The following is a 24,374-nucleotide window of genomic DNA, read 5'->3' as shown; positions in this document are numbered from 1 at the left end:
AACAGAACTAAGGCCACATTTCAGCCTTGCATCTGAGAGTGATACTGCTGATCAAGAAGACTTGGATGTAGAAGATGACCATGAGGAACAGCCTTCAAATCAAACTGTCCGAAGACCTCAGGCTGTCATTGAAGATGCTGTGGCTACCTCAGGCGTGAGCACGCTCAGTTCTACTGTGTCTCATGATTCCCAGAGTGCTCACCGGTCACTGAATGTACAGCTTGGAAGGATGAAAATAGAAACCAATAGGTAAGTCCTACACTGACGTGGGTTGGTTTCTTTTCTTTTACTTTTACTAAAGAGCATGTGTTTTTGGTCTACAGAATATGATTCCCTTATCCCATTCATGGAAACTTGATTGAATGCCTTTCTTTATAAAACAAGAGAAGTTTAGTTTAGCCTCTTTTGTCAAATACCACTTTCTGCCTCTACCAGTTTAAGCCTTTTTCAGCGGCATTTGATTACTTCTTCATCTCCAGGTGCCCTAAGATTTTTCCAATAGCTTCGTTGTAGCCTCATAGACTGTCTAAGAAACAGGCTCAGAGCAGCATGTACCTTCCAGTAGATAGCTGAAAAGAACAGAAAGCTCATGTTTTTGAAAGCCCAGTCAAGTCTTTATAGGAGAGGAAGATCACTGAGGTCGAGGGAACAAAACTAATTAATGGTGCTAAAGATTTGTATTTTAGAACCTAAAAAGGAAGATAATTGACCACATTTATGATTCTATTTTATTTTTGATATGCTGTAACATATCTGGAGTATAATTTGCCTTTGATAATTTGCTAGCATAGAACCCACAGGATCAGATTATTAACAGCAAATGTTTCCTGTTCTTTGCAGATGTTGTTGGTACAGTTCAAGGTCTGAATTTTTATGATTTATAGCTTCCTGTGCTGCCTACAGTTGACATGTGGGAAACTGACTTTATGACTCTGGGTTTGCATTAAAAACTTTTTTTTAAGCGAATCAATAAAAGTTGTTCAAATATTTAGAAACCTTAATTGAAAATGCTAGTTATTCACCAGGGAGATTAAAAATATCTTATTTCCAGTCATAAAGTTTAGGTTTTTAAAGGCAAGCTTGTATACCAAAATGAGTACAAGTGGTAAAAGCTCATCCTATATTCAGAAACATGAAATTTGGTTGCATTGTTAAGTAAATCCATATAGACACATCTTCTATGATGTGCATAGAGCAGTCTTATTTTAATAAAGGGAGATTGCCTCTCTGACTTTCATATCCCAATTTTGTCCTCTGAAACCCAGCTCTTGCCATCTCTACTATTTAGTGGGAAAGAACTTGGGTCTTTTCTCTTCTGAGACTTCATGGAAATCTTGGTTTCCCTCATTCCTCCTCTTCTCAAGCAAGAGTCCAAGGATAACACCCCATCGTTATGGAAGGTGTCCATGTTAGTCACTTATCTCTAGGTTACTCTCTGTTGCCCAGTCCTGAGTGGTGGTGTTTTTTGGACTCCTGCTGTGATCTCTGGAGGAGGAAAGTTCACTCATTACTGTTTTGGTTGACCTCCTCCCACCCATGCCTTCTGGTTAGAATTACGCAGATAGTAAAACTACTTTGTTTACCAAAGAGCTGGTATATCTGCTTTTCTGGCCCTGAAACCTCCTGTCTACACACCTGGCTGTGTCAATAGGACCTGCCTCTCCTAATGCAGCCTAGACACAAGTCCTTTTCCTTCTCTCCTTGGCCTATTTGGTTAGCGTTGTGCTCGCCACCCTGGCGCCACTGTCTGTCTACCATGCTTGGGCCATCTGCAGTCCCTGAGGGCTTCCGGCCGCTTTCTTCACAGCTTCCCCTTTCTCTTCTGAGTGTCTCTTGGTTCTAGCTGAGGGCCTGCTTCTCACATCTGCCCATCTCTGTTGAAAAGACTAGTATTTACCCACATTTCTTTATTACATTAGTATGTCACAACAACCCACACATTTACGCTTTTTCCTCTGCATATTTACATTTGAGTCTGTGAAATCTACAGATAATCAGCCTCGTTTTTCCTTTTTCAGTAATATCTCCCACGGCTTTCCATCACCCACAGAAAAGTGAGATGAGGGACGATGTTTGCTTCATGCATGATTTGAAGAAAGGACAGCTGCTTTAGTACAAAAACCAAGTAATTGAAATAAGGGACCAGTCCTGTCCATATTGGTCCTTCTAATTTTCAGTTGAATATTACCTGAAATATAAAGGCATACCTACCGCAAAATGAATCTAGAGGAAATGTTAGTGTGTTTTCAGGAAAGGTTGTAGCTCTCATATTAAAAATTGTAAGCTTAGAATATTTAGGATGATCACTGATGAAGGGAAATCAGGTTTATCCTGCTTGGAGGATCACCTGAGCCCAAGAGGTTGAGGCTACAGTGAGCCATGATTGCACCATTGCACTCCAGCCTGGGTGACAGAGCAAGACCCTATCTCAAAAACAAAAACAAAAACCTGTCTCAAGAGGAGCTGCCTGTTTATTTAATTTCCCCATCCTACAGTTCTGGAATTACCCACCAATCCACCTCATCACCCCTGCCCATCCAAGGTTAAAAATTGACCTCATGGCAGATCCTGCCATACTTTTTTGGAACAGAAAGGCAGACAGTTGCCTTGATTTCAAAATATTGCCCTGCTAAATAAACACAAAATAAAAATAAAATTGATGTACTGGATTGTTCTTAAGATAAATACTTCTAAGAGCTGGATTCGGAGCAAATGAGGTGGGCTGTCAATACTCTGCTTCCAGTGTTGAAGTTCTGGTGTTTAAGGTGTTAAAAGAAAGCTTCAGACAAATTAAATTTAATGGAGTTTAATTGAAAAAGAAAAAAATAGTTTGTGAATCAGGTGGCCTCTAGAATCACAGCAGATTCAGAGAGATTCCAGGGATGCCTCGTGGCCAGAACAAATTTATAGAAAATAAAAGTAAAGTGACGTACAGAAATCAGAAGTGTGCAGAAAGAGCTGGATTTGTTATGGGTTGGCGTTCACCTTATTTGAACACTCAGCAGTGTATGAGTGGTTGAAGTATGGCTCCTGGGATTAGCCAAGACTCAGCTATTGTTATAGACGCATACTCCTAAGTTAGGTTTTCAATCTTGTCTACCTGTTAAGTTATAGTTTGTCCACGAGGACTCAAATATGCAAGTACGGAGTCCTTCTCAGGCCATATTTCATTCACTTTAACAAAAGATAAAAAGAAATTACATAGTCTAGACAAACATAGGTTAAACTCTAGAAAACATCACTGTGTTCCTTGAGAAAACAGTAAGAAGATACCATCACTGTCTTATACGTATAAATTAGCAAGTAGGACAAAAATACATACCAGATCAAAAAACTGCCAACTTAAACATTCACACAGAGCTTCCTGCCCATTTCTTTGGATAATATTTGTTTTGAAAGAGATAAGAAGCCTCCCTCCAAGACCCTGTGCTCCCTCTTCTAGCTTTCAGTTCATGCTGCTTCATCCACCTCATTGTGCACCACACTTACCCTGCAGCTGTCTTTGTTAACTTATTTTCCTCCACCCACCTTCTCTGTCTACCTCTTATTGTGTTTTACTTTTGTCCCACCTCTGCTACCTACTCTGCTGTGATCCCTTCTCTCTGAGGATCTCATCTTTATGTCCTGTGGGAATGGGGTCGAGCCTGGGGGTCTGGGAAGGTTTCCTTCCCACTGAGTCCTGGAAAGGCTCTTTTCCAGGGACTGAGGTAGCAAGGAACAGAACATCCCTTATTAAAGACCAGACACTGACTTGGCACTGTACCTATGCTGTCTCATTTAATGCTCACAATAATCTTTTCTGGAAGCTTTAGTTTTCTTTTTTACAAATGATTTGAAAACTGAAGCCTGGAGGCATTAGGTAATTTATCTAAGGTTAACACAGGAAGTGCAGGGTTGAACCAGGACACAAGCCCAGATCTGTCAGTTGCACGATGCTGCCTTCAGATTATGTCAAGTGAAGCAGAAACAAACTCTTGAGTTAAATCTATCAATACTCAGAAAATGAAACAAATAGAGTTTGTTAAGAGCTGTAGTTTATGCAACGATTTATCCTGATAATCTTAATAACGATATATTTTAAATTATTATTTCTGAATCCAACTTACATTAAGATACTTTTCTAAAAAATTAGAGCACCTCTTTTCATAACTTGGAATGTTTTCTTTGAGAAATTCTATTGGAAATGGTGAGTAGGTTACCAGTTGGCTCTCAGTTGCATAGTGAACCTTCTATGGGTAAGAACTTTGGTATGAATATCACAGTTTCTCCTTGTTTCTTTGGAGACTGCATCAGATGCCAACTAGGAACTGAATGTACCAGGAACACAGCTATCCTTTTACCCACTTCACCCCCGCCCCCTTAGAAGGAAGAGGAATAATAGTAACAATCACAATTGTAGCAACAACCGTGAACATTTACTGAGAATTTGTTATATGCCAGATATTCTAGGCGACCTCACCTATGACTGTTTCTCAAATTTTCATAGTTTACAAAAAGTGATTACTTTTCTGATTTGCATTGATTATGAAATTATGCACATTTGCCAACTTTTTTTAATGGGGGTCCATACATGTAAAATATAGGCCTGTTAATATCTGTATCCCATATTTATATCTTTGACATTTATGGTCATAACAAGAAATATCAGGACACATCTCTGAAGATTTTGGCAGACAATCTGTGGTGGAGGTTTTGAATTCTTGTCGGCAAGCACAGTCTTCCAAAGCTTAGCTTCTGGACCTGAGGGTCTGTGAACCTGCAACATCAGTGTCATCTGGGAGCTCATTATAAATACAGTCTCAGAACTCACCCCCGGGGCACTGGACCAGTATCTGTATTTCAATAAAATTAGGGGTGTATGTGCTTATTATAGCTCATGTCTAGAAGGTCATCCTAGGCCTGGCACAGTGGCACATGCACACACCTATAATCCCAGAGCTTTGAGAGGCTGAGGTGGAAAGACCACTGGAGGCCAGGAGTTCAGAGACCAGCTTGGACAACATAGCAAGACTCTGTCTCTACAAAAAAAAAAAAAAAAAAAATTAGCCAGGCATGGTGGTGCATGTCTGTATTCCCAGCTGCTTGGAAAACTGAGATGGGAGGATCGCTTGAGTCCAAGAGTTTAAGGATGCAGTGAGCTATAATTGGGCCACTACACTCAGCCTAGGCAACAGAGAGAGACCTTGTATCTAAAAAAATAAAAATAAAAAAAAGAAGGTCACCCTGTGTCACCTCCTGTCAAACAATATATTTTTCTTCTGCAGATTACTGGAAGAATTGGTTCGGAAAGAGAAAGAATTACAAGCACTCCTTCATCGAGCTATTGAAGAAAAAGACCAAGAAATTAAACACCTGAAGCTTAAGTCCCAACCCATAGGTGAATAGCAGAAAGTTTTATAGTAATACTGTTCAGCCAGGCTGCCACAAAAAGCCAAGAAAGCCAACAGGAAGTTTTATTTGTGGCTAAGTCAGCATTTCTCACTTCTACCATGACTGCAAGCAGGAATTCCTTTAAAAAAAAAAAATCCAGTTTTTAACTGTAGCAAACTCATTTCTTATAAGTGCAGTAAAAATAGATTATTCATAATCATCTTTTCCTGAGATTATGTATTACTGAGGTAAACAGGGCTCTCTGTTTTTAGTCTTTATTTTTAAAGATTTCACAATGAGCTTACTAGAATAAATAATACTATTTTTTGTCATTTTGCATTTATATTCTGTGTATTCTAGCCTTTTTCCTTATAATTTGAAGAGGCTTAAATAGAATAAAGATGTAGTAGTAAAAAGGCATAGCTGGGGAGAATGTTATTTAGCCCATTTAGAGGAAAACAGAATTCATAGTTATTTGTTTAGATATGTGGCTCTTTCATAGTGGAAAAAGAGATTATGATAATTATATAGTTCTCTGCTAATTGTATTCATCTTTATTGCATGAAAAACACAAAGTCTAATTTTGGTGCACAGAGTTTATTCTAAGAAACCATAAAATTGATATGAAAGTGTAACGTAGGAGTGTCATTTCATTATTGCTTTTGCTCCTTATTTACTAGTAAATTCACTTCTCTGAGTTTTATTCATATTATCATCTATACTGCCAATCTCAATTGTTTCTATGAACTGTTCTCTGATAGAGCAAAATCTTTTAAAGTATCAATAAATGTCTGTTGATTGTGAGGGTCTCAGATGACCTCTGTTAGGTGAAATTAAGAATATCTTCCCAAAATTCTGTTCTAGAAATTCCTGAATTGCCTGTATTTCATCTAAATTCTTCTGGCACAAATACTGAAGATTCTGAACTTACCGACTGGCTGAGAGTGAATGGAGCTGATGAAGACACTATAAGCCGGGTAAAGAAAACTGTCTGTGGGACAAGTATTCTTTCACTTCGTTTCATAATGTTGGGTGCCTGCTATGTGACAGGCACAGGGGATACACTGGTGAGCAAATCAGACCCAGCCCTGCCCTCCTGAGGCTTACAGACCAGGGTAGGCACGTGATAATCAGCTAACTCCACAGATACAAATGTGATTCTACACTGGTAAATTCTATGAAGAAAAAGGTATCAGGTGTTTATTAGATAGGGCGAGAGAGGTTGGGGAAGGTTGTTGGAGAAGGGAATGAAAGAGCTGAAGGCTAACAGAATGTGAGGGTATAAATAGGCCAATTGTATGTATGTTCAGGAGGGGTGTGGGAGGGAGACCAGGGAAGAACCTTGTGCAGTGGGGCTGCAGTGTGTACAATCCAACGAGGCAGGCAAAAGCTCTGTGGTCCTGAGCCCCTTAGGAATTTTATGTATTTGAAATGAAAACCAGAAAGAGTGGGAAAAAAATAAAGACAGGACTAAAAGAAAAAATTTCTTGTTTCTAATTCTTTGTATGTTAATTTTTATTTTATTTTATTTTATTTTATTTTATTTTATTTTATTTTATATTTTTTTGGAGACAAGGTCTCGCTCTGTTACCCTGGCTGGAGGGCAGTGATCATAGCTCCCTGCAGCCTTGACCTGCTGGGCTCAAGTGATCCTCCCACCTTAGCCTCCTGAATAGTTGGGACTACAGACATGAACCATCATACCCAGCTAATTAAAAAAAAAATTTAGAGATAGGGTCTCGCTATGTTGCCCAGGCTGGTCTTAAACTCCTGGCCCCAAGCGATTCTCTCACCTCAGCCTCTCAGAGTACTGGGGCTACAGGCATGAACCACCACGCCAGGCCTGTTTGTTAAATTTTTAATTCTTTTTCAACATTATTAGATTCCACTGGGCAGCAGCTATTTTATTGCTACTTAATAAAATCAATCTGGTCGACTTATTTCAGAAATATTTTCTATACAAACCATATTTTACCTGTAATAATCTAATTCCTCTCTGCTCTGTATAGACTTTTTTTGATTTTGTTTTTTGAGACACAATCTCACTCTGTCGCCCAGGCTGCAATGCTGTGGTGCGATCTCAGCTCACTGCAATCTTTGCCTGCCAGGCTCGAGAGATTCCCTGCCTCAGCCTCTCAAGTAGCTGGGATTACAGGCATATGCCACTAAGCCTGGCTAATTTTTGTACTTTTAGTAGAAACAGGGTTTCACCATATTGGCCAGGGTGGTCTCGAACCCTGGCCTCAAGTGATCTGCCCACCTCAGCCTCCCAAAGTGCTGAGATTACAAGTGTGAGCCACTGCGCCCAGCCCCTATAGACTTTTGTAATGAGCGTGAATAGCATTTGTTTATGTTCATTATATGAACACACAGGCATACATTAAAACATTGTAATATTTGATAGAAAGACCCTCTTAATACAATATTGTTTTGTTTTATATTTAAATTTTAAAAATAAATAAGAATAAAGATATCTCTTCTTTTGACTTGATAATTTATTAACTAAGTAGAATTTCGGGCCGCCTTAGAAATCTACATTTAACAAGTTACAGCTGAATAAATTTAAACAACTCCAGAATATACATTCCTCTAACTTAGGCTCAAATCCTAATTAAGGAATAGTAATTGATAATCTACTAAATAATCACCCTTTTTATTTGGTTTAAAAGTAAAAGCTTGAGGCCAGGTGCAGTGGCTCCTGCCTGTAATCCCAATACTTTGGGAAGCATAGGCAGATTGCTTGAGGCCACGTGTTGGAGATTAGGCTGGTCAATATAGTGAGACTGTCTCTATATATAAAAAAATAAATAAAATTTAAAAATATAAAGGTGCAGTTTAAATTAAGACTCTGCTTTTATGGTGAATTACAGTCAAGTGCCTTTGCTTAACCATGAAAAAATAAGTTCAGAAATTAAGCATAGGCAGTACCTTTCCAGGAACACTTTTTATCCACTTGAGGAAAAACAAAGCTATGTAGCATTGAACTTCTAAATACAAGATTTGCTTTTGAACAGCAGAGTGATTACAAGTGAGTCTCATCTGTTCATTAGAAGACCATTCAGAAGTTCTGTGTCACTTGTAATCTTTTTGCATTTGGAAGTTAATATGGATGCATTTCTTGTTTTTGTTTTTGTTTTTGTTTTTGTTTTTGTTTTTTTGAGACGGAGTCTCACTCTGTCGCCCAGGCTGGAGTGCAGTGGGTCAATCTCAGCTCACTGCAACCTCTGCCTCCCGGGTTCAAGCGATTCTCCTGCCTCAGCCTCCCAAGTAGCTGGGATTACAGGCATACGCCACCACGCCCAGCTAATTTTTTGTATTTTTAGTAGAGATGGGGTTTCACCACTTTGGCCAGGCTGGTCTCGAACTCCTGACCTCAGATGATCCGCCTGCCTCAGCCTCCTAAAGTGCTAGGGTTACAGGCGTGAGCCACTGCGCCCGGCCTGGATGCATTTCTTTGTATTTATTGAGTAACAGGGAGGCCTTTCCCCTAATAATCCTGGAAGATTGTGTTTTTAGTAGATTTCATTTTTAGATTCATTTTTAATTATAGTCAAGGTTTACATTATGAATAGAGTTTGTGCTTTATTAAAGTTATATAAAACATCTTTTGTGCATATTCTACTTTCTCTACAGTTTTTGGCTGAAGATTATACACTATTGGATGTTCTCTACTATGTTACACGTGATGACTTAAAATGCTTGAGACTAAGGTACCACTTTTCTTTCTGTTGTCACTATGGAAAGAGCACCAGGCAAATATCAAAAAGTCTGAGTATCTTCCCAGGCTGGGTCTCTAATTAGCTTTGTAGTTCTGGACAGAGCTCTCTAGCTCTTAGCTGCTCTGAGTAAACTGAGTTAGTTGGACAATGATATTTTTGAGGGCTCTAATAACCAATATTTCTATATTAGTAAGTGAAAATCAACTGGAAGAATTTTTTTGAATAAGATGCAGACTAAGTCCATGCAGATATTCTGAAGCTGCCTTAAACAAATGCTTTAATTGAGTTCATGATGGTGTTATACTCAATAAATATTTGGAGGAGGTGCTGACTTGCCCTCCAAAAACCTGGTATAATCTGATATAATTTCTTGTTAATTAAGGCCAAGCATATAACTTTTTTTTTTTTTTTCGGGATGGAGTCTCACTCTGTCACCCAGGCTGGAGTGCAGTGGCGTGATCTCAGCTCACTGCAAGCTCCGCCTCCCAGGTTCACGCCGTTCTCCTGCCTCAGCCTCCCAAGTAGCTGGGACTATAGGCGCCCACCACCACGCCCAGCTAATTTTTTTGTATTTTTAGTAGAGACGGGGTTTCACTGTGTTAGCCAGGATGGTCTCGATCTCCTGACCACGTGATCTGCCTGCCTCGGCCTTCTAAAGTGCTGGGATTACAGGCATGCGCCACCGCGCCCAGCCCAAGCATAAAACTATTATACCCACCATTATAAAGACAAATTTCAAAAATGCTGAAACTCTAAAATGATGTTTTGGGACATAGCAGTTTGTGGGAGTGAAAAGGGAAGGAATGGAGGGAAGATGAGAAAAAATATACAAAAAGAATACATAATAACTGATCAGACTTTGGGATCTTCTTCTGACCAGAGCAGATGAAAGCTAAGAAGTCACTTTTCTATTTCAAGGGCAATGTTTCAAATGAAATGTTCGTTTCACCATGTTCTTGTGTCTTTAAACAGGGGAGGGATGCTGTGCACACTGTGGAAGGCTATCATTGACTTTCGAAACAAACAGACTTGACTGTTGCTCAATCTAATCTTCGATGGAAATTCTAAAAATTAATACAGAGCTGATCTTCTTGGGGGTGGGAAAATCGAAGGGAGAGGAGAAAGGCGCTGCACTTTAAATCCAGTATTTGTTTACTCATGTTAAAAAAAAAAAAAACAGACAAAACACACTGAAATTTCCTAACTACATCTATTTCTATAATTTTTAAGGACTCTTCATAAGGACTCTTAAAATAATCCTGAACATTAGAACCCTAATGTTCAGGAAGATTTTAATCTAAGCATTTTTATGGAAATATTTTTAATGCAGCAGCTATTGCACTTCAGCCAAATGTTTATTTCACACAAAACGGATGTAACATTTCATGTGATCGTGCACCACTGGAACAAAACCAAAATGTGACCATAACTGTTTAGGCTTCTGTGTGTTTGTAATATGCTCTAATAATCTGAGTAGAAATGCGTAATTTCAATTACTGTATAAAGTTTATGTTTTTTTAAGTGTGCAGAATCTGAGAGCAATGGTTTTTACTTCTCTGTGTTAATTGTAATATTGACTCTATTTTGTAACTTAAGTTTCTGACCTGTCGTACATTTGTTTGAGTCGTTTATGTACTACTGAACTGTACCAGTTGCACATGCTTGAACTGTAGTAATGTTAGCTTGTTCTAAAGCTATCCATTGTGTCATATTTACTCTAAAAATTAAAGAGACTCTCAACATACTGTTTTGATAAATTCTAAAGAATTTTTATTTTGTGTTGACAAACTAGATAATCTGCTGTGTTAAATTTCCAGTCATTTCTCCAGCTGTAACATTAAGTAAAATCTGTCTTCTATTCAAGCAGTCAGACAACTGACATTCAGGTTGTTCCTCAGAGGAACAGAGGTTTAAGAAAGAGGGTAAGCCTGGGCAACAAAGTGAGACCCCACCTCTACAAAAACTCAAAAATTCAGCTAGGCATGGTGGTGTACACCTGTGGTCCTAGCTACATGGGAGGCTGAGGCAAGAGGATCGCTTGAGCCCGGGAGGTCGAGATTGCGGTGAGCCATGATTGTGCCATTGCACTCCAGCTTGGGCAACAGAGTAAGACCCTGTCTCACCAAAAAAAAAGAAAAAAAAAAAAAGAGGATGAAGAAAAAAAAGAATAAAGGAAAGTCAGTATATTTTTCTCAAGGCCCCAAGTTATCTTGGATAACTATGGTATATCTTAAGGGGTCTGCAAAGACCATCTTAATGGAGAATACTGCTTGCTTTTTTTTTTTTTTTTTTTGAACAGAGTCTTGCTCTGTTGCTCAGGCTGGAGTGCAGTGGCGTGATCTCAGCTTACTGCATTCTCCACCTCCCGGGTTCAAGTGATTCTCACACCTCAGCCTCCTGAGTAGCTGGGATTATAGGTGTGTACCACCACACCCAGCTAATTTATATTTGTAGTAGAGATGGGGTTTCGCCATGTTGGGCAGGCTGGTCTCGAACTCCTGCCCTCAAGTGATCCGTCCTCCTTAGCCTCCTAAAGTGCTGGGATCACAGGGGTGAGCTACTATGCCTGGCCAAGAATACTGTATTTTTCTGTCTCCTTAATTTTCTTATATTTGGATAAACATTTTTATTTATTTTAAGCTGAGTAGTATATTTTTATGAGCCTGCCCATATTGATCAAAGGAAGTCTGATGCTCCTAGATGGATAAATGAAATACATTTTCTTAAATACAGAGGAACCTGTTTATTAGGCAGGATAAAAATAACATAGAGCTGTTTGTATATCATGATTTCACTCATAAACAACAGTCTTTGACAAAGCAGAAGACATCTTTATTTTGAAAACATTCTCACTAATGTTTTCTGATTGATTGATCGAGACAGGTTCTCACTCTGTTGCCTAGACTGGAATGCAGTGGTACGATCACAGCTCATTGCAGCCTTGTCCCCTTAGGCTCAAGCAATCCTGTCATGTCAGCCTACAGAGTAGCTGGGACTACAGAGGCACACCACCACAACCAGCTAATTTTTAAATTTTTAGTAGAGGTGGGATCTCACTGTGTTATCTAGGCTGGTCTTGAACTCCTGGCCTCAAGTGATCCTCCTGCCTTGGCCTTCCAAAGTGCTGGGCTTATAGGTGTGAACCACTGCTTCTGGCCTCTTTTTTAACATCCTAATTTGGAGGACAGAGTTGCCTCTGGTATCCTGTGTGGATATTCTGAAATAAGTGAGGTATAAATTCAATGATATGCCATTTGGCTCATACTGAAACACAGAGTAAGCCGTTTATTAAGCCACAGTTCATCTTCTCAATTCTAATGGTGAAGTGCTTCTTTTGACTGTATATAGGATCCAGCTACCCACCATAAACCAAATCTTCAAGGATACAATCTTTCCTTGGTACCTTCCTCTTACCCTGTCTTTGTGAGCAGATGATCCTCTGTCCCTACAGGGTTCTAACACACTCCCAGGCCAACATCATTAGCCATTTGTGAGAATTTTGGGTCTCAGGCACAAAAGAAGACAGTTCCATTATGGAAGACTCCATTATGGAAAGGTTTGCATTTGAAACGCTTTTAGGATCAATCTAGGCCAGTGATTCTCAACTCAGCTTCGCATTAAAATGACTTGGATGCTTTTTCAAAAATATTGATGCCACCACCTTGGGACAACTGAGTTGTTGTTGTTATTTGTTTTTTCTTGGGACAGAGTCTCTGTCACCCAGGCTAGAATGCAGTGGCACTGTCATAGCTCACTGCATTCTTGACCTCCTGGGCTCAAGTAGTCCTCCCACCTCAGCATCCCAAGTAGCTGGGACTACAGGCATGCACCACCATGTCTGGCTAATTTTTAAATTTTTTGTAGAGACAAGGTCTTACTATGTTCAGCTCACTCTGGTCTCGAACTTTTAGGCTCAAGTGATCATCCTGCCTCAACCTCCCAAAGTGTTGGGATTACAGGCATGAGCCACTGTGTCCAGCCGGAAAACTGTTTTTACTGGTCTGGGGTTGGGCCCAGATACCCTTTTTAAAAATTAGTTTCACAGGTGTTTTAACATGATCAAGCTTCACCTCCTTATTTCAGGTAACAGCTAGAGAGGGAAATGGAGAGCCCCTTTCTATAGAGGGAATAGCAAGATGGTTAACGTTCATCATTTGTTTAGCGTAGCAGGAGGCTACACACCCAGGCCTGAAGCAAAACTGTAACTTGACTTGTGACCTGGAACAACTGAATTAGTTTCTCCAAGTCTCAGCTTCCTCATCTGTGAAATGGAGGAAATGATGTACCTTCCACATAGGTCTGCTATAAGATGTAAATAAGAAAATGGAGGCTGGGCGCAGTGGCTTGTGCCTGTAATCCCAGCACTTTGGGAGGCCGAGGTGGGTGAATCACTTGAGGCCAGGAGTTCAAGATCAGCCTGGCCTACACAGCAAAACCCTGTCTCTACTAAAATTACAAAAACTAGCCAGGCGTGGTGGCGCACGCCTATAATCCCATCTACTCGGGCGGCTGAGGTACGAGAATTGCTTGAACCCAGGAGGTGAATGTTGCAGTGAGCCGAGATCACGCCATTGCAATCCAGCCTGGGCGACAGAGCAAGACTCTGTCTCAAAAAGGAAAAGACAATGCAGGAGAGGTGCTCAGCACAATGCTTAGCATACAGTAAACACTGAGATATGCTTGCTATTGCCATCACTTATCCTTCATTCAAAAGTATTTATTAAATACTGGGTACTACATATTGTGGTGCACCAACAAGATACAGTTCTTTCCCCTGAAGTTTCTTGTCAAGGAATCAAGACAAAGCAGAAACAACAGTGGTGCAGTCAGTGCTATAGTTACATTTACTGTCAGAAGGGGTCAAGGAAAGCTTTCCAGAGGAGTGAAGGTGCAGAGCTGAGCCTGGAAAGATGGTTTGAAACAGAACAGTTAATGCAGGGGTGGTGGCAGTGTTATAAAAGAAACAAAACAGGAATTTGCTGGGAGAAGTAGATCTAATGTTTCCTTTTAACTGCATTTTGATCTCTTTCTTCTGTCATTGGATACTTGGTTTCGTTCATCCCTAGGCCACCACATAAAAAAGCTTGGCATTGAGGAATTATTAACCCATTTGAATGCCCACTGTGTGTGAGGCACGGTAGCAACACAAAAGATATATACCATGCCTACCAAGTTCAGAATGCAGGCAGTGCACATGATGTCATCAAGAACATCTGCAACTCGTGAACAAATAAAATAACTGATAGTTCTAGACTTTATGGACACCCTGTAGAGAAGTAGAGGACAAAGACCCTACTACCAAAAATGTGCATCAGATTGAGAAGGCAAATTTGCAATAACTCATGCCTAGTCTATTTTAACAGCTGGACAAGTATCAAGCCCAGCAAGCCCTGGCCAGGTCCAAAGGACAGGCATGCTGGGAGCCAGGGCAGGAAGAACAGGCTTCATGGAGGAAGTAGACCTTAACCTGGGCCTCAAAGGGAAAGTATTATTAAATACGTCAGGATGAAGGACATCACTTCGGGCAGAGCAGCTTCAAGCACAAAGACTAGAAAGCAGGGATTTGGAAGGTGTTCTGGAGAATGAACAACTCCATGGGCTAGAAATATGAGTTACAGAGGTGAAAAGTGGAAATGGGTAGTAGAGAGCTCAGGGCCCAATTAGGGGGTGGTGGTGGTGATGGTGAGGAGGTGAAGTTAATATTTACTTATATAGGAACGGGGAATCTATTAAAGGTTTTTGAGCAAGGGAGAGGTATGTGTAAAGTGATTGTATATTGCAAGATTAATGTGGTTTGGAACATATTAAATTAACAGCAGGGTATCTTGATAGAATTGTGCAGGGACCATTCAGAATGTATTAGTGGAAGTCAGGAGTGAGGTTAAGGGTATATATTCTGGAGTTGGGAGTCACCAGGATCCGGGATGGAAGTAATAGTAAATGAGGGCTGTGAGAGACAGTAAAGATAAAAAGCCTGTGGTTTACAATTAGGGGATGGTAAAAATATTGGAGGATTAGAAGGGAGGAAGAATCTGAGTCAACAAAGACGAAAGGACTGCTACAGAGGAAGGAGAAAAACCAAGCCAATGGTAGACCAAGAGCAAGGTGATTAGAGGATCAAGTGCTGCAGAAACTCTAGGGGAATGATGGATTTAAAAATAAGTAATTTGATTTGTATACATAAGCAAGAAAAACTATTAATATATAGCTTTTTTTGAAAAATAACGGCACCAAAATCCACATTTATTTTTATTACCTTTGGTGAACAAAACATACGACAATAGATTCTGGAGGGTGGGACGTTAAAGGAAGACATTTTAAGAATCAAAGAGTCTTAGCTGTGTTTATTGGGGTAGAGCCCTTGGGTGCAGAAACATTTAGGGATTCGGGAGAAAAAAGGGATGATGTTTGAAGGAGGCAGGAGGGAAGTGGACGGTGTCAGGAGGTTCAGCTCCTCCCCTGGAATGGGGAACCCTGAAGATTTGAAATGGATGTGGGAGCTCCAGACAGATGGCTTCCATGTTCCAAGTAAAGTACAACTTGAAGTACGACGTGATGGTGTTTGACATTTAACAGATGTCATCTGTTCTCTGCAGAGTCACTCAGCAGCCTCCCCTGTTGCAGACACCTCCTTAGGTTTGGAACACACTGTCTATACAGGGCCTAAGTGCAGGATTTTGGTGTGTTCCTTATTTCATTTATTTTTGTTTAACTTGTGGCAGATAAATACAGGTTATCAAAAGAATGGGACAATGAGTAAGCACACACCAAACTAAACAAAACAAAACAAATAGAAACATCACAAGTCTTGAATTTTTTTTTTTTTTTTTTTTTTTTTTTTTTTTTTTTTGGTCAAAGAAAGAACTCATTGGTTGATTTAAGTCGGTGGTAAATCAGAAAGTTGAAAATAAATCACCCTCCTTCTCCAGGGTTCTTCCGGATAGTTCAACTCTAAATTCAGCTGAGAGTATTTCTGATGCTCAAAGAAAAGTGTCTTAAACTCTGATGTTTTAATGTAGTTAAAAAAAACACAAAAAATCTTTGCTGAGGCCCAAGCTGAGGTCAAAAACTACCTCTAGCCATCTGGTGCTTTATTTTTATTGATTAGAAGTCTCTGATAAGACTGATTTGAATGTGATTTAGGAATATCACATTCTAAATGGTCAGTTTGCCTATTCCATTATAGAAATGACACTACGGGAAAATTCATCATCACAGACCACAGCAGAAGTGTTCTTTAGTTAAAGCTCTACCTAGTCATCCAGAAAGCCAGTAAGTAAACCAAATAAAAATAGTTCACTGGGCTCAGAGTGGCAAGTTTTGCATGCAAAGATCGTGAAAATTGTAACCCTAACAATAAATCCAATACTGTTCTCGACTCTCTTGTGTGTCCAGTGCTGCTGCAGTCCTTGGAAGGCTTTTAAACTGTTCAGAGCTTGCTGGTTATCTTCAGCCAAGCCAGAGAGTGGGAGTGCAGTGCATTTTAGTGTAACCATGCGGAACTGGTCGCTCCTTGATTTTGTGCCGTATGTTTCCATTTGTGTAGGCTTTTTCCCCCCTCAGTATTTTGTTGCTTATCCTTTAGAGCGAAATTGGTTTTTCCTCGGCCAATAATCTGTTTCTTTAAAAAAAGAAAAATTCGTTACCTATTGCCTTTTTTTCTGGTCTTCCTGAGCAAGCCAGAAGTCACAAGGTCGTTTACTAAACGGAAACTAAGAAAAAGAAAAGCCACATCAGCCGGCACAAGCCTCTCTAACTTGTGTGCCCTGAGGCTCATCAGATGCGAAGTCCTGGCGACAAGATAGGGTCGCCCGCAGTGGCTTCCTAAAGCGCAGATCCAGGCCGGCTCCCAGCGTGGAATCCGACCCATGTACTTCGCCTCTCCACGTGGCATCAGATGCTCTGCCGGCTGTCACCGTGAACTCCAGCCCTCGCGGAGCCGACACTGACCTGGCTACTTCAGAGTTCGGAGGGAAATAGCGTCTCCGTACCCTCGCCCCACCTGGGCTGCTCCTCGGACCGCCGCTCGTCCCAGACTCCAGGAGGCGCCACCAGGCCTCGCTGACCCCGCTCCATATCTCCGGGAGCCCTCAGCTGGTCGGCCGCGGCGACCGGAAGCTCCGGACTGAGGTACTGGTTCCGCCCGCCGCTCTTCCAGCCGAGACTCGGCAGCGGCGGTCGGAGCGGCTGCCACGCCGCACCTGCCCGCGAGGGGGCGCGCCAGGCCCAGGCCGCAGCCGACTGCCGCGCTCTCTGTCCCCGCCCTCCGCCATCCCCGGACTGCGCTCACCTGTCTGGGCCGCTGGCCTGGGAGGCGGGGGCCGGCGGGAGCCAAGCCGAGGAAAGGGCGGAGCGGCTCTCCGGGCGCGTCATCGGAGCACCATGGCGGAGCTAGGAGCTGGCGGCGACGGCCACAGGGGCGGCGACGGCGCAGTGCGAAGCGAAACAGGTGACCGCACAGCGGGGATAGTGGGGGTCCCGTCGGGCAGGGGACGGCGAGCGGGGCCGGCGGGCTGGCACCGAAATCACCCGGCGCCGGCAGCCCCCTCCCCGCCCGCGCGGCCGCGGCCCGGAACAACCGGCCCTGCGCGCCGCGCACCCTGCTCCGAGAGCGCCTTCCCCCGCCCTTCGCCGCCGCGGCTCGGCCAGCCCGGCTCGGCCCCGGCCGGGGTTGCGGCCGCCCTCGGGCGCTCCACCGCGACTTTCCCGCAACAGGTGGAGGCGAGCCGGGGGAGGAAACGGAGAGACCCCGGCCGCTGCCCTCCCCGCCGCGGCCTCGGGTCTAATTCAGTTGAATGGGAAATCGTATCCCCCAGACCAAACCAGTGGCCAGAGAGTCGTCGGCCAGGTGCGACTGGCAGGACGAGCAGTTTCTGGGCACCTCCTCCCGCCTTCCCTGGTCGCCCCGGGTGCCGGGGGCTCCTCAGCGGGGTCGGTGTGGGGCAGGACCGCGGGGTGAGCGGCCCGCCCCCCAATCTGGTGCCCGCAGTGGCGACGACCGTCGTCCGAGGGGACCGAGCTCGGGAGGGCCGGGGCCCAGTGCAGCACGGTGGGGGTTTGCGAGTGCGGGCTTGACGGGATCAGACTTTCGTTGACTTGTCGGAGTTCTCAGAGTTTTTTGTTTTTAGTCTGTGCAGGAGCCCAAAGGAGGATTGTTGGCTCTGCAGCCCGGGATTTGGTGGTCAGGCCTCTGTGTTGAGGATACCCCTCCCCCACAACCTCCAGGGGCACACTTAGGGACAGGGGATCACGTCCCCAAGACCAGCAGCAAGGCTTCCCAAGACCAGCAGCAAGGCTTCCCAACCCCGCCCATCTCTCCATAGTATGAAGCCGATTTTTCTCCCTCGTGATTTTTTTTTCTCCAGAGGCTATCTTGCAAATCCGTCCCTCTCCACTGGTTCCCTCTTCTATTCTTGGCCAGTAAGCTGTTTCTATATCTTCCTACACTTGGGGATGGGGGCAGTGAGGCAGTTTCTTACTTTAAAAAGAAATTCAATTCTTAGACTCTCCAATTGCAAGCTGTTTTCCACTTCCATACGGTCACAATCGGAAGCATTTGTTTCCTAAATGTAAGAATCACTGTCTCCCCACCATCAAGTATGCTTATTTTAACGTGAAAGGTCCAGAGAGCTCTGAAACAGTATTTGCAAATTATGTATCTGCTATTGCTAGGAAGAGGTTGGGTACGTAAAGTCTAATGATTTAATCCCTTCAGCCAAGATACCTGAGGTTAAGACTGACAAAGTATCTTGAACTTGTTTAAGTCATGCTCCTTCCTGTAGGGAGTTTGTCTTAATGTGTTCGCAAGATTGGTAGATCATTATTTTGTTTTGGGGTGGAGAAGAGATGCCTTTGTAATTGCTTTCGGGAATTTGATGAGCTAGACGCTGGGACGGGGCTCCCCCAAGTGAGGGCCCCGGGAGAGGAGCATCCTCATTTGTAAATATACGGCATGATTTTCGTTCCTAACCCTGACCCAGTAACTGCATGTGAAACAACATTGTTCTAGCGAGCTAAGTGTTAGTTTGTGCTCAAAAATAAACTTTCTAGAATCTGCACGTGAACAACTTGTTCAGACATAAGTGAACTGACTACAAACTGTAGGATATTCAGTGCCTGAGCATGTTAAGGAATAGGCCGTGCTTCCAACAATTAATATACAAATCAACCATGTGCCTGTCAGTGTAATATTTTCTTTTATTAAAAAGGGAGTTAAATTGGCTGTTATCTCCTTCATAGAAAACATTTCTTCCACACTTTTGCCTAAAAACTTCATTTTCCAAAGGACATTTTTTATATATGGTCTTGAATAATTATACTTTATAATTTCACTGAAAACTTAATTCTGGCCCCGCATCTCTTTCCTATTTTTCTACCCCAAGATTACTATTAATGTTTTTAGTGTTCAGAAGCATTTGTGTCAGCAGGTGCCAAAGAAAGAAGGAAGGTGTAAATGTATTTTTTTGAATCTAGGTGGTAGTTATTTTGAGAGAACAAGTGAGATTGTTTGAATTTCAACAACTTAAGTTATTCCATATATTTAAAACACATGACCTATATCTGAATATGAGACTTTAATTTAGCACTTCATTCTGGTGAACATATTTCACATTATACACATCCAAATACTGCAAGTCTCATTTTTTTAAACAATCAGAAGTTTGTATGGAATTGTTGGGGGGGTGGGGGGGGGTGGTGGTGGTGGGTGGCCGTGGACAGAGAAACTATTACCATCAAGAGTTGAAAATTGCCACCTTAAATGGCAACATTTCTTGAGGGATTAATTTTATTTCTTTTTAGAACTCATTATTATGAGGTAGAGTCCACTCTTAAATAACTCTTAGTTTTTGGGTCTCTATACAAAGACTGGTCTAATTTTAGGGCACTTTAGATGAGAATATCAGGTTATTATAAAAATGATACCTGTAATGTGTTCAGAATTATATGTGTGAGTGTGTGTGTGTGTATATGTGTATCAAAGATGAATTGACAGTGGTGGCGTGTGGCCTATGAAATGAGACCGTTCTTAAGCATATTGAAAGCTATTATATAAACCCAACATTTAAAAACCCTATTTCTGTGGGTATATATTCTCAAAGTTAGTCAAATCACATTCTTTGTGGCGAAAACATTTATTTTTCTTGAGGATGAAAAGTTCTTCCAATATAATATTTTTCTTGCCAACAGCCAAAGTTAAGAGCTGGGAAAAAAAAAATTGCCTTGGAAACAAGTTTAAGACATCACCACTAGAGGATGTCAAGTCCTTTTTCAGCCTTTTTTGAGTAGTCGACCTACGATGGGTGATATTCACAAAACTGCCTCTACCCAAGCTTTGTATATTTAATTTTATGTTCATGTTCAAGAGCTGTGGAAAGCGAGTGTACAGCACTAATTTCCTAGTCTGATAGCCTGTTTTAAAAACCTCCTGAACTAAAAGCAAATTTAAAGCTGCTTTTGATTAATTCATGAAGCTTTCATGCACGAAGGAATAAGTTAATGCCAATAACCTGTCAATTCTGTTGATATTTTGGGAAGTGGGTCATGACTTAGAATCTGGAATTGGGCTTTTTGTCCATTTTAGCAACCTGTGTGGTGAACATGGCCTCTTTCGTGACCATCCTTTCATGAACTTTTCCAAATCAAAAAGTGATCTTGTAGGTGTCACTTAACTCTAAGGGTCCACATTAAATATCTGCAATTAAATAAGGGCTCAGACGTCAATTTGGTATTAAGCTTGTCCCCTTTGAAAGAGATGCTTCATTCACATAGCTAGATAGCTTTTCTCCCATCCTATATGGCTGTTACCTTTACATCTTGCTAAGTAGGAGGAAACGTTATTATTAGACTAGGCAATTGTGCTCAGGAGCATGCATTTATGTAATATTGATAGGCTTGTGTGAAATATTTTTACACAGTTTATTTACACTGGCATTTTCTCTAAAAAAATTCTAACATCTTTGCCTCCCAATGCATGAGAAACAATCATTTGGAAGAGTTATTTTTAAAAACTCGGGCCTCGTATTGATGTAAGAATTGAAAATATTGAGGCTTAGAATAAGAAATGTGTACCTTCTGTGTATTCAGCATTATGGTGGTTAGAAGGCTGTTGAACAAATGATCCTTGAATTTAGCAAGGAAGACAAAATTCACCAACAAACAGTTGCAGGTTATGAGGAGTTCAGTGAAGGAGGAATCACTTCCGGCTGTGGTCAGCAGGAAGAACATACTGGATACAGCACTGAAGTTAAATTTTAAAAAGTGGTGGAACTGGAGATCATTATGTTAAGTGAAATAAGCCAGGCACAGAAAGACAAACATTGCATCTTCTCACTCATTTGTAGGATCTAAAAATCAAAACAATTGAACTCATGGACAGAGAGAGTAGAAGCATGGTTACCAGAGGCTGAGAAGAGTAGTGGGGGTAGGGGGTGGGAGGTGGCAGGGAGGTGGGGATGGTTAATGGTTTGAAAAAAAAAAAGGCCAGAGGCAGTAGCTCACGCCTGTAATCTCACCACTTTGGGAGGCTGAAGCAGGCAGATCACATGAGGCCAGGAGTTTGAGACTAGCCTGGGTTACGTGGTAAAACCCCATCTCTACTAAAAATAAAAAAATTAGCCTGGTGTGGTGGCGCACGCTTATAGTTCCAGCTCTTTGGGAGGCTGAGGCAGAAGAATCACTTGAACCCAGGAGGTTGAGGTTGCAGTGAGCCAAGATTGCACCACTGCACTCCAGCCTGGGTGACAGAGCGAGACCATGTCTCAAAAAACAAAAAGTTAGAAAGAATAAGAATAGTAACAAATACTATTTGATAGCACAGCAGATTGATTATAGTCAATAACTTAATTGTACTTTTAAAAATATCTAAGAGTGTAATTGGATTGTTTGTAACACAAAGGATAAATGCTTGAGGGGATGGATACCCCATTCTCCATGATGTAATTATTTCACATTGCATGCCTGTATCAAAACATTTCATGTACCATATAAATATATATACCTACTATTTACCCACAAAAATAAAAAAAAATTAAATTTGTTTTAATTTAAAAAATAAAAAAATAAACTTTTAAAAATGGGTAAGTGGGATATAAAATTAGATGGAGGAAAGGGAGAAAAAGATGCAGGTGTGAAAAAGAGCAAAGTTTTGGTCATATTGACACATGTGTAAAGCTCAAAGAAAGTCCTAGGTCAGTTAGGAATGATTGTTCATCGAAGTCAAATTGTGGAAGGGCTGAAGGCCAAACTGAGAGGCTAGTACATTTTTCTGGGGTAGGGTAGTGGGGGAAGTGTTGAGGATTCTTGAGAATAAAGGATATTGATTAAAGCAGGAATAATCAGGTAGTTCTGTGCCCATGAATCTTGAAATATTGATTGCAAGTTCTAACAAGAGCTCAGCTGTGCCTTTAGCTAATGAAAGCAAAGTTCCTCCCTCTGGGAAAGTCATTCTCTTCCATTGATTTTTTTTTTTTTTTCTTTTACTGCTTTGGGAAGGGTGCACCTGGAGGGATGAGAATGCATGAGGAATATCTGCCTAGCCAGATTAGCCAAATCTCTGGAGATCAATGAAGGGCTAGGTCTACTCAGCTGGTCCTCATTTCAAAGTAGCAACGTGGACTTGAGGATGGACTGAAGAAGAGTTCAGCGACATACACACCAACTTTGAGATTCCTGCAGAAATCCAGGCAGTCATTAGCATGGCAATAGGAAGAGACGATTAATTTAAGGTTCTGCAGGGGCATGTGTCAAAGGATTGCAGGTAAAAAGGTGACATATGAGACTTTTCCAAGTTTGAGTTTGGCTCATTGACTTATTGGAAAATATTCATGAGGAGGACCTGTTTTGTTCTTTACCCCAAAGAGATGGGGGGCGGGTCTTGCTATGTTGCCTGGGCTGGACTTGAACTCCTGGGCTCAAGTGATCCTCCCGGCTTAGCTGTTCGAGTAGCTGGGACTACAGGCATGCACCACTGTGTCCAGCAGAATCAGGTTTTGGTGGGAGAAACAGGAAAAAAACCTCTCTGCTTTAGACATGAAAATGTGTGGTACAAGAGAGATCTGTAAGTGGAAATGTTCAAAAGGCAACTGGAAGTATAGGACTAAAAGAGAAAAATAGAGGTCAGGACTCTGGGATTCACTCCATAAAGGAATAATAGCTGAAGGTTTGGGAGTGAGGAGAGCTCAGAAAAACCACAAAGGGGTGAGACGACCTGTAAAGCATGGGAGGAGGAAGAGCCAGCAAAGCAGACAGATGGAAAAGCACAGCTGAGCAATGTCACACCTGCTGAGAGGGATGGAGAGGTAAGGGATTCAAAGACTGATGAAGACATTTTATAAAAAGCTGTTGGTTTGGTTACAAATAGTCACTGACCAACCCCAGAAGAGGAATTTCAGTTGTTGGTGCAAGAGTTGGGGCTACATCAGATTAGAAGTGATTGTGAGATAAGCAGTTTGGGAAGAAAGGTAGCCAATTTAATAGACCCTCCCATAAAGCTTGCTGGTGAGAGGAAAAAATTACAAATCCTTGAATAGGCAGAGGGATTTTAAAAAATCTATTCTAAAATTTGCGTACAGTCCAGGTGCGGTGGCTCATGCCTGTAATCCCAGCACTTTGGGAGACCAAGGCGGGCAGATCGCTTGAGCTCAGGAGTTCGAGACCAGCCTGGGCAACATGGCAAAGCCCCATCTCTACTGAAAATACAAAAATTAGCCAGGTGTCGTGGCATACATCTGTAATCCGAACTACACAGGAGGCTGAGGCAGGAGAATTGTTTGAACCTGGGAGACGGAGGGTGTAGTGAGCCGAGATGGTAGCACCACATTCCAGCCTGGGCAACAGAGCATGACACCTTCTCGAAAAAAATAATTTGTGTGCAAAAAAAATTACGGATTTTCTTTTATTTTCTTTTTTTAGTTTTGTTGACTGTATAGGTAATGTAAGCACCACCGTTAACATTATCCCAAAGAGTCCTCTGCCTCCAACCTAAATTCCCTAATGCTGCACCTTTGTAGTGAGACTCTCTTCCTACACCTAACCCCTGGCAACCACTGATCTGTTTACCATCTTCCTAGTTTTGCCTTTTCCAGAATGTCATAAAAGTGGAATCATACATTGTGTAACCTTTTTTTCTTTTTTTTTGTGAGACGGAGTTTTACTCTTGTTGCCCAGGCTGGAGTGCAATGGCACAATCTCAGCTCACAGGAACCTCCTCCGCCTCCTGGGTTCAAGCGATTCTCCTGCCTCAGCCTCCCGGATAGCTGTGATTACAGGCATGTGCCACCATGCCCG

The 24,374-nt window shown here is 41.9% G+C and overlaps 2 protein-coding genes, 1 long non-coding RNA gene and 1 pseudogene across 17 annotated transcripts in view, besides 5 other annotated features; 3 read left to right on the top strand and 1 right to left on the bottom strand.

Annotated features, from left to right (window-relative positions):
- Window positions 1-10,834, top strand: part of MAP3K5 (mitogen-activated protein kinase kinase kinase 5) — a 236,046-nt gene extending 225,212 nt beyond the window's left edge. For all 7 annotated transcript variants that reach the window (XM_017010875.2, XM_047418784.1, NM_001438058.1 and 4 more), the window contains 5 exons: window positions 6-249; window positions 5,265-5,377; window positions 6,235-6,347; window positions 9,004-9,080; window positions 10,062-10,834. In XM_017010875.2, the coding sequence (XP_016866364.1) occupies window positions 6-249; window positions 5,265-5,377; window positions 6,235-6,347; window positions 9,004-9,080; window positions 10,062-10,122 (608 nt within the window). In that variant the 3' untranslated portion in view covers window positions 10,123-10,834. The remainder of the gene's footprint in view (window positions 1-5; window positions 250-5,264; window positions 5,378-6,234; window positions 6,348-9,003; window positions 9,081-10,061) is intronic.
- Window positions 15,375-17,157, top strand: MAP7-AS1 (MAP7 antisense RNA 1). Its single transcript, NR_186370.1, has one exon. It is a non-coding gene; the product is annotated as an MAP7 antisense RNA 1 (long non-coding RNA).
- Window positions 17,008-17,545: an enhancer, noted in NCBI's record as "H3K27ac-H3K4me1 hESC enhancer chr6:136871473-136872010 (GRCh37/hg19 assembly coordinates)". NCBI's record gives its function as "activates a minimal SCP1, AML or CMV promoter by ChIP-STARR-seq in primed H9 embryonic stem cells {active_cell/tissue: H9 hESC(primed)}" and the evidence as "EXISTENCE:reporter gene assay evidence [ECO:0000049][PMID:30033119]".
- Window positions 17,157-17,506: a silencer, noted in NCBI's record as "silent region_17574". NCBI's record gives its function as "represses an Ori minimal core promoter by ATAC-STARR-seq in GM12878 lymphoblastoid cells {active_cell/tissue: GM12878}" and the evidence as "EXISTENCE:reporter gene assay evidence [ECO:0000049][PMID:35858748]".
- The window catches only part of MAP7 (microtubule associated protein 7), a 207,689-nt gene continuing 200,772 nt past the window's right edge, over window positions 17,458-24,374 (top strand). For all 9 annotated transcript variants that reach the window (NM_001388352.1, NM_001388347.1, NM_001198617.3 and 6 more), the window contains exon 1: window positions 17,458-17,538. In NM_001388352.1, coding sequence (NP_001375281.1) covers window positions 17,472-17,538 — 67 coding nt within the window. In that variant the 5' untranslated portion in view covers window positions 17,458-17,471. The remainder of the gene's footprint in view (window positions 17,539-24,374) is intronic.
- Window positions 17,547-17,726: a silencer, noted in NCBI's record as "silent region_17573". NCBI's record gives its function as "represses an Ori minimal core promoter by ATAC-STARR-seq in GM12878 lymphoblastoid cells {active_cell/tissue: GM12878}" and the evidence as "EXISTENCE:reporter gene assay evidence [ECO:0000049][PMID:35858748]".
- Window positions 17,737-17,786: a silencer, noted in NCBI's record as "silent region_17572". NCBI's record gives its function as "represses an Ori minimal core promoter by ATAC-STARR-seq in GM12878 lymphoblastoid cells {active_cell/tissue: GM12878}" and the evidence as "EXISTENCE:reporter gene assay evidence [ECO:0000049][PMID:35858748]".
- Window positions 18,084-18,622: an enhancer, noted in NCBI's record as "H3K27ac-H3K4me1 hESC enhancer chr6:136870396-136870934 (GRCh37/hg19 assembly coordinates)". NCBI's record gives its function as "activates a minimal SCP1, AML or CMV promoter by ChIP-STARR-seq in naive H9 embryonic stem cells {active_cell/tissue: H9 hESC(naive)}" and the evidence as "EXISTENCE:reporter gene assay evidence [ECO:0000049][PMID:30033119]".
- Window positions 22,388-22,688, bottom strand: RN7SKP299 (RN7SK pseudogene 299; annotated as a pseudogene).

Source organism: Homo sapiens, chromosome 6 (genome assembly GCF_000001405.40).
Source record: "Homo sapiens chromosome 6, GRCh38.p14 Primary Assembly".
In the NCBI taxonomy this organism is placed as follows: domain Eukaryota; kingdom Metazoa; phylum Chordata; class Mammalia; order Primates; family Hominidae; genus Homo; species Homo sapiens.
The sequence above is the reverse complement of the archived record's forward strand: the minus strand, read 5'-3'. Positions and strand labels throughout refer to the sequence as shown.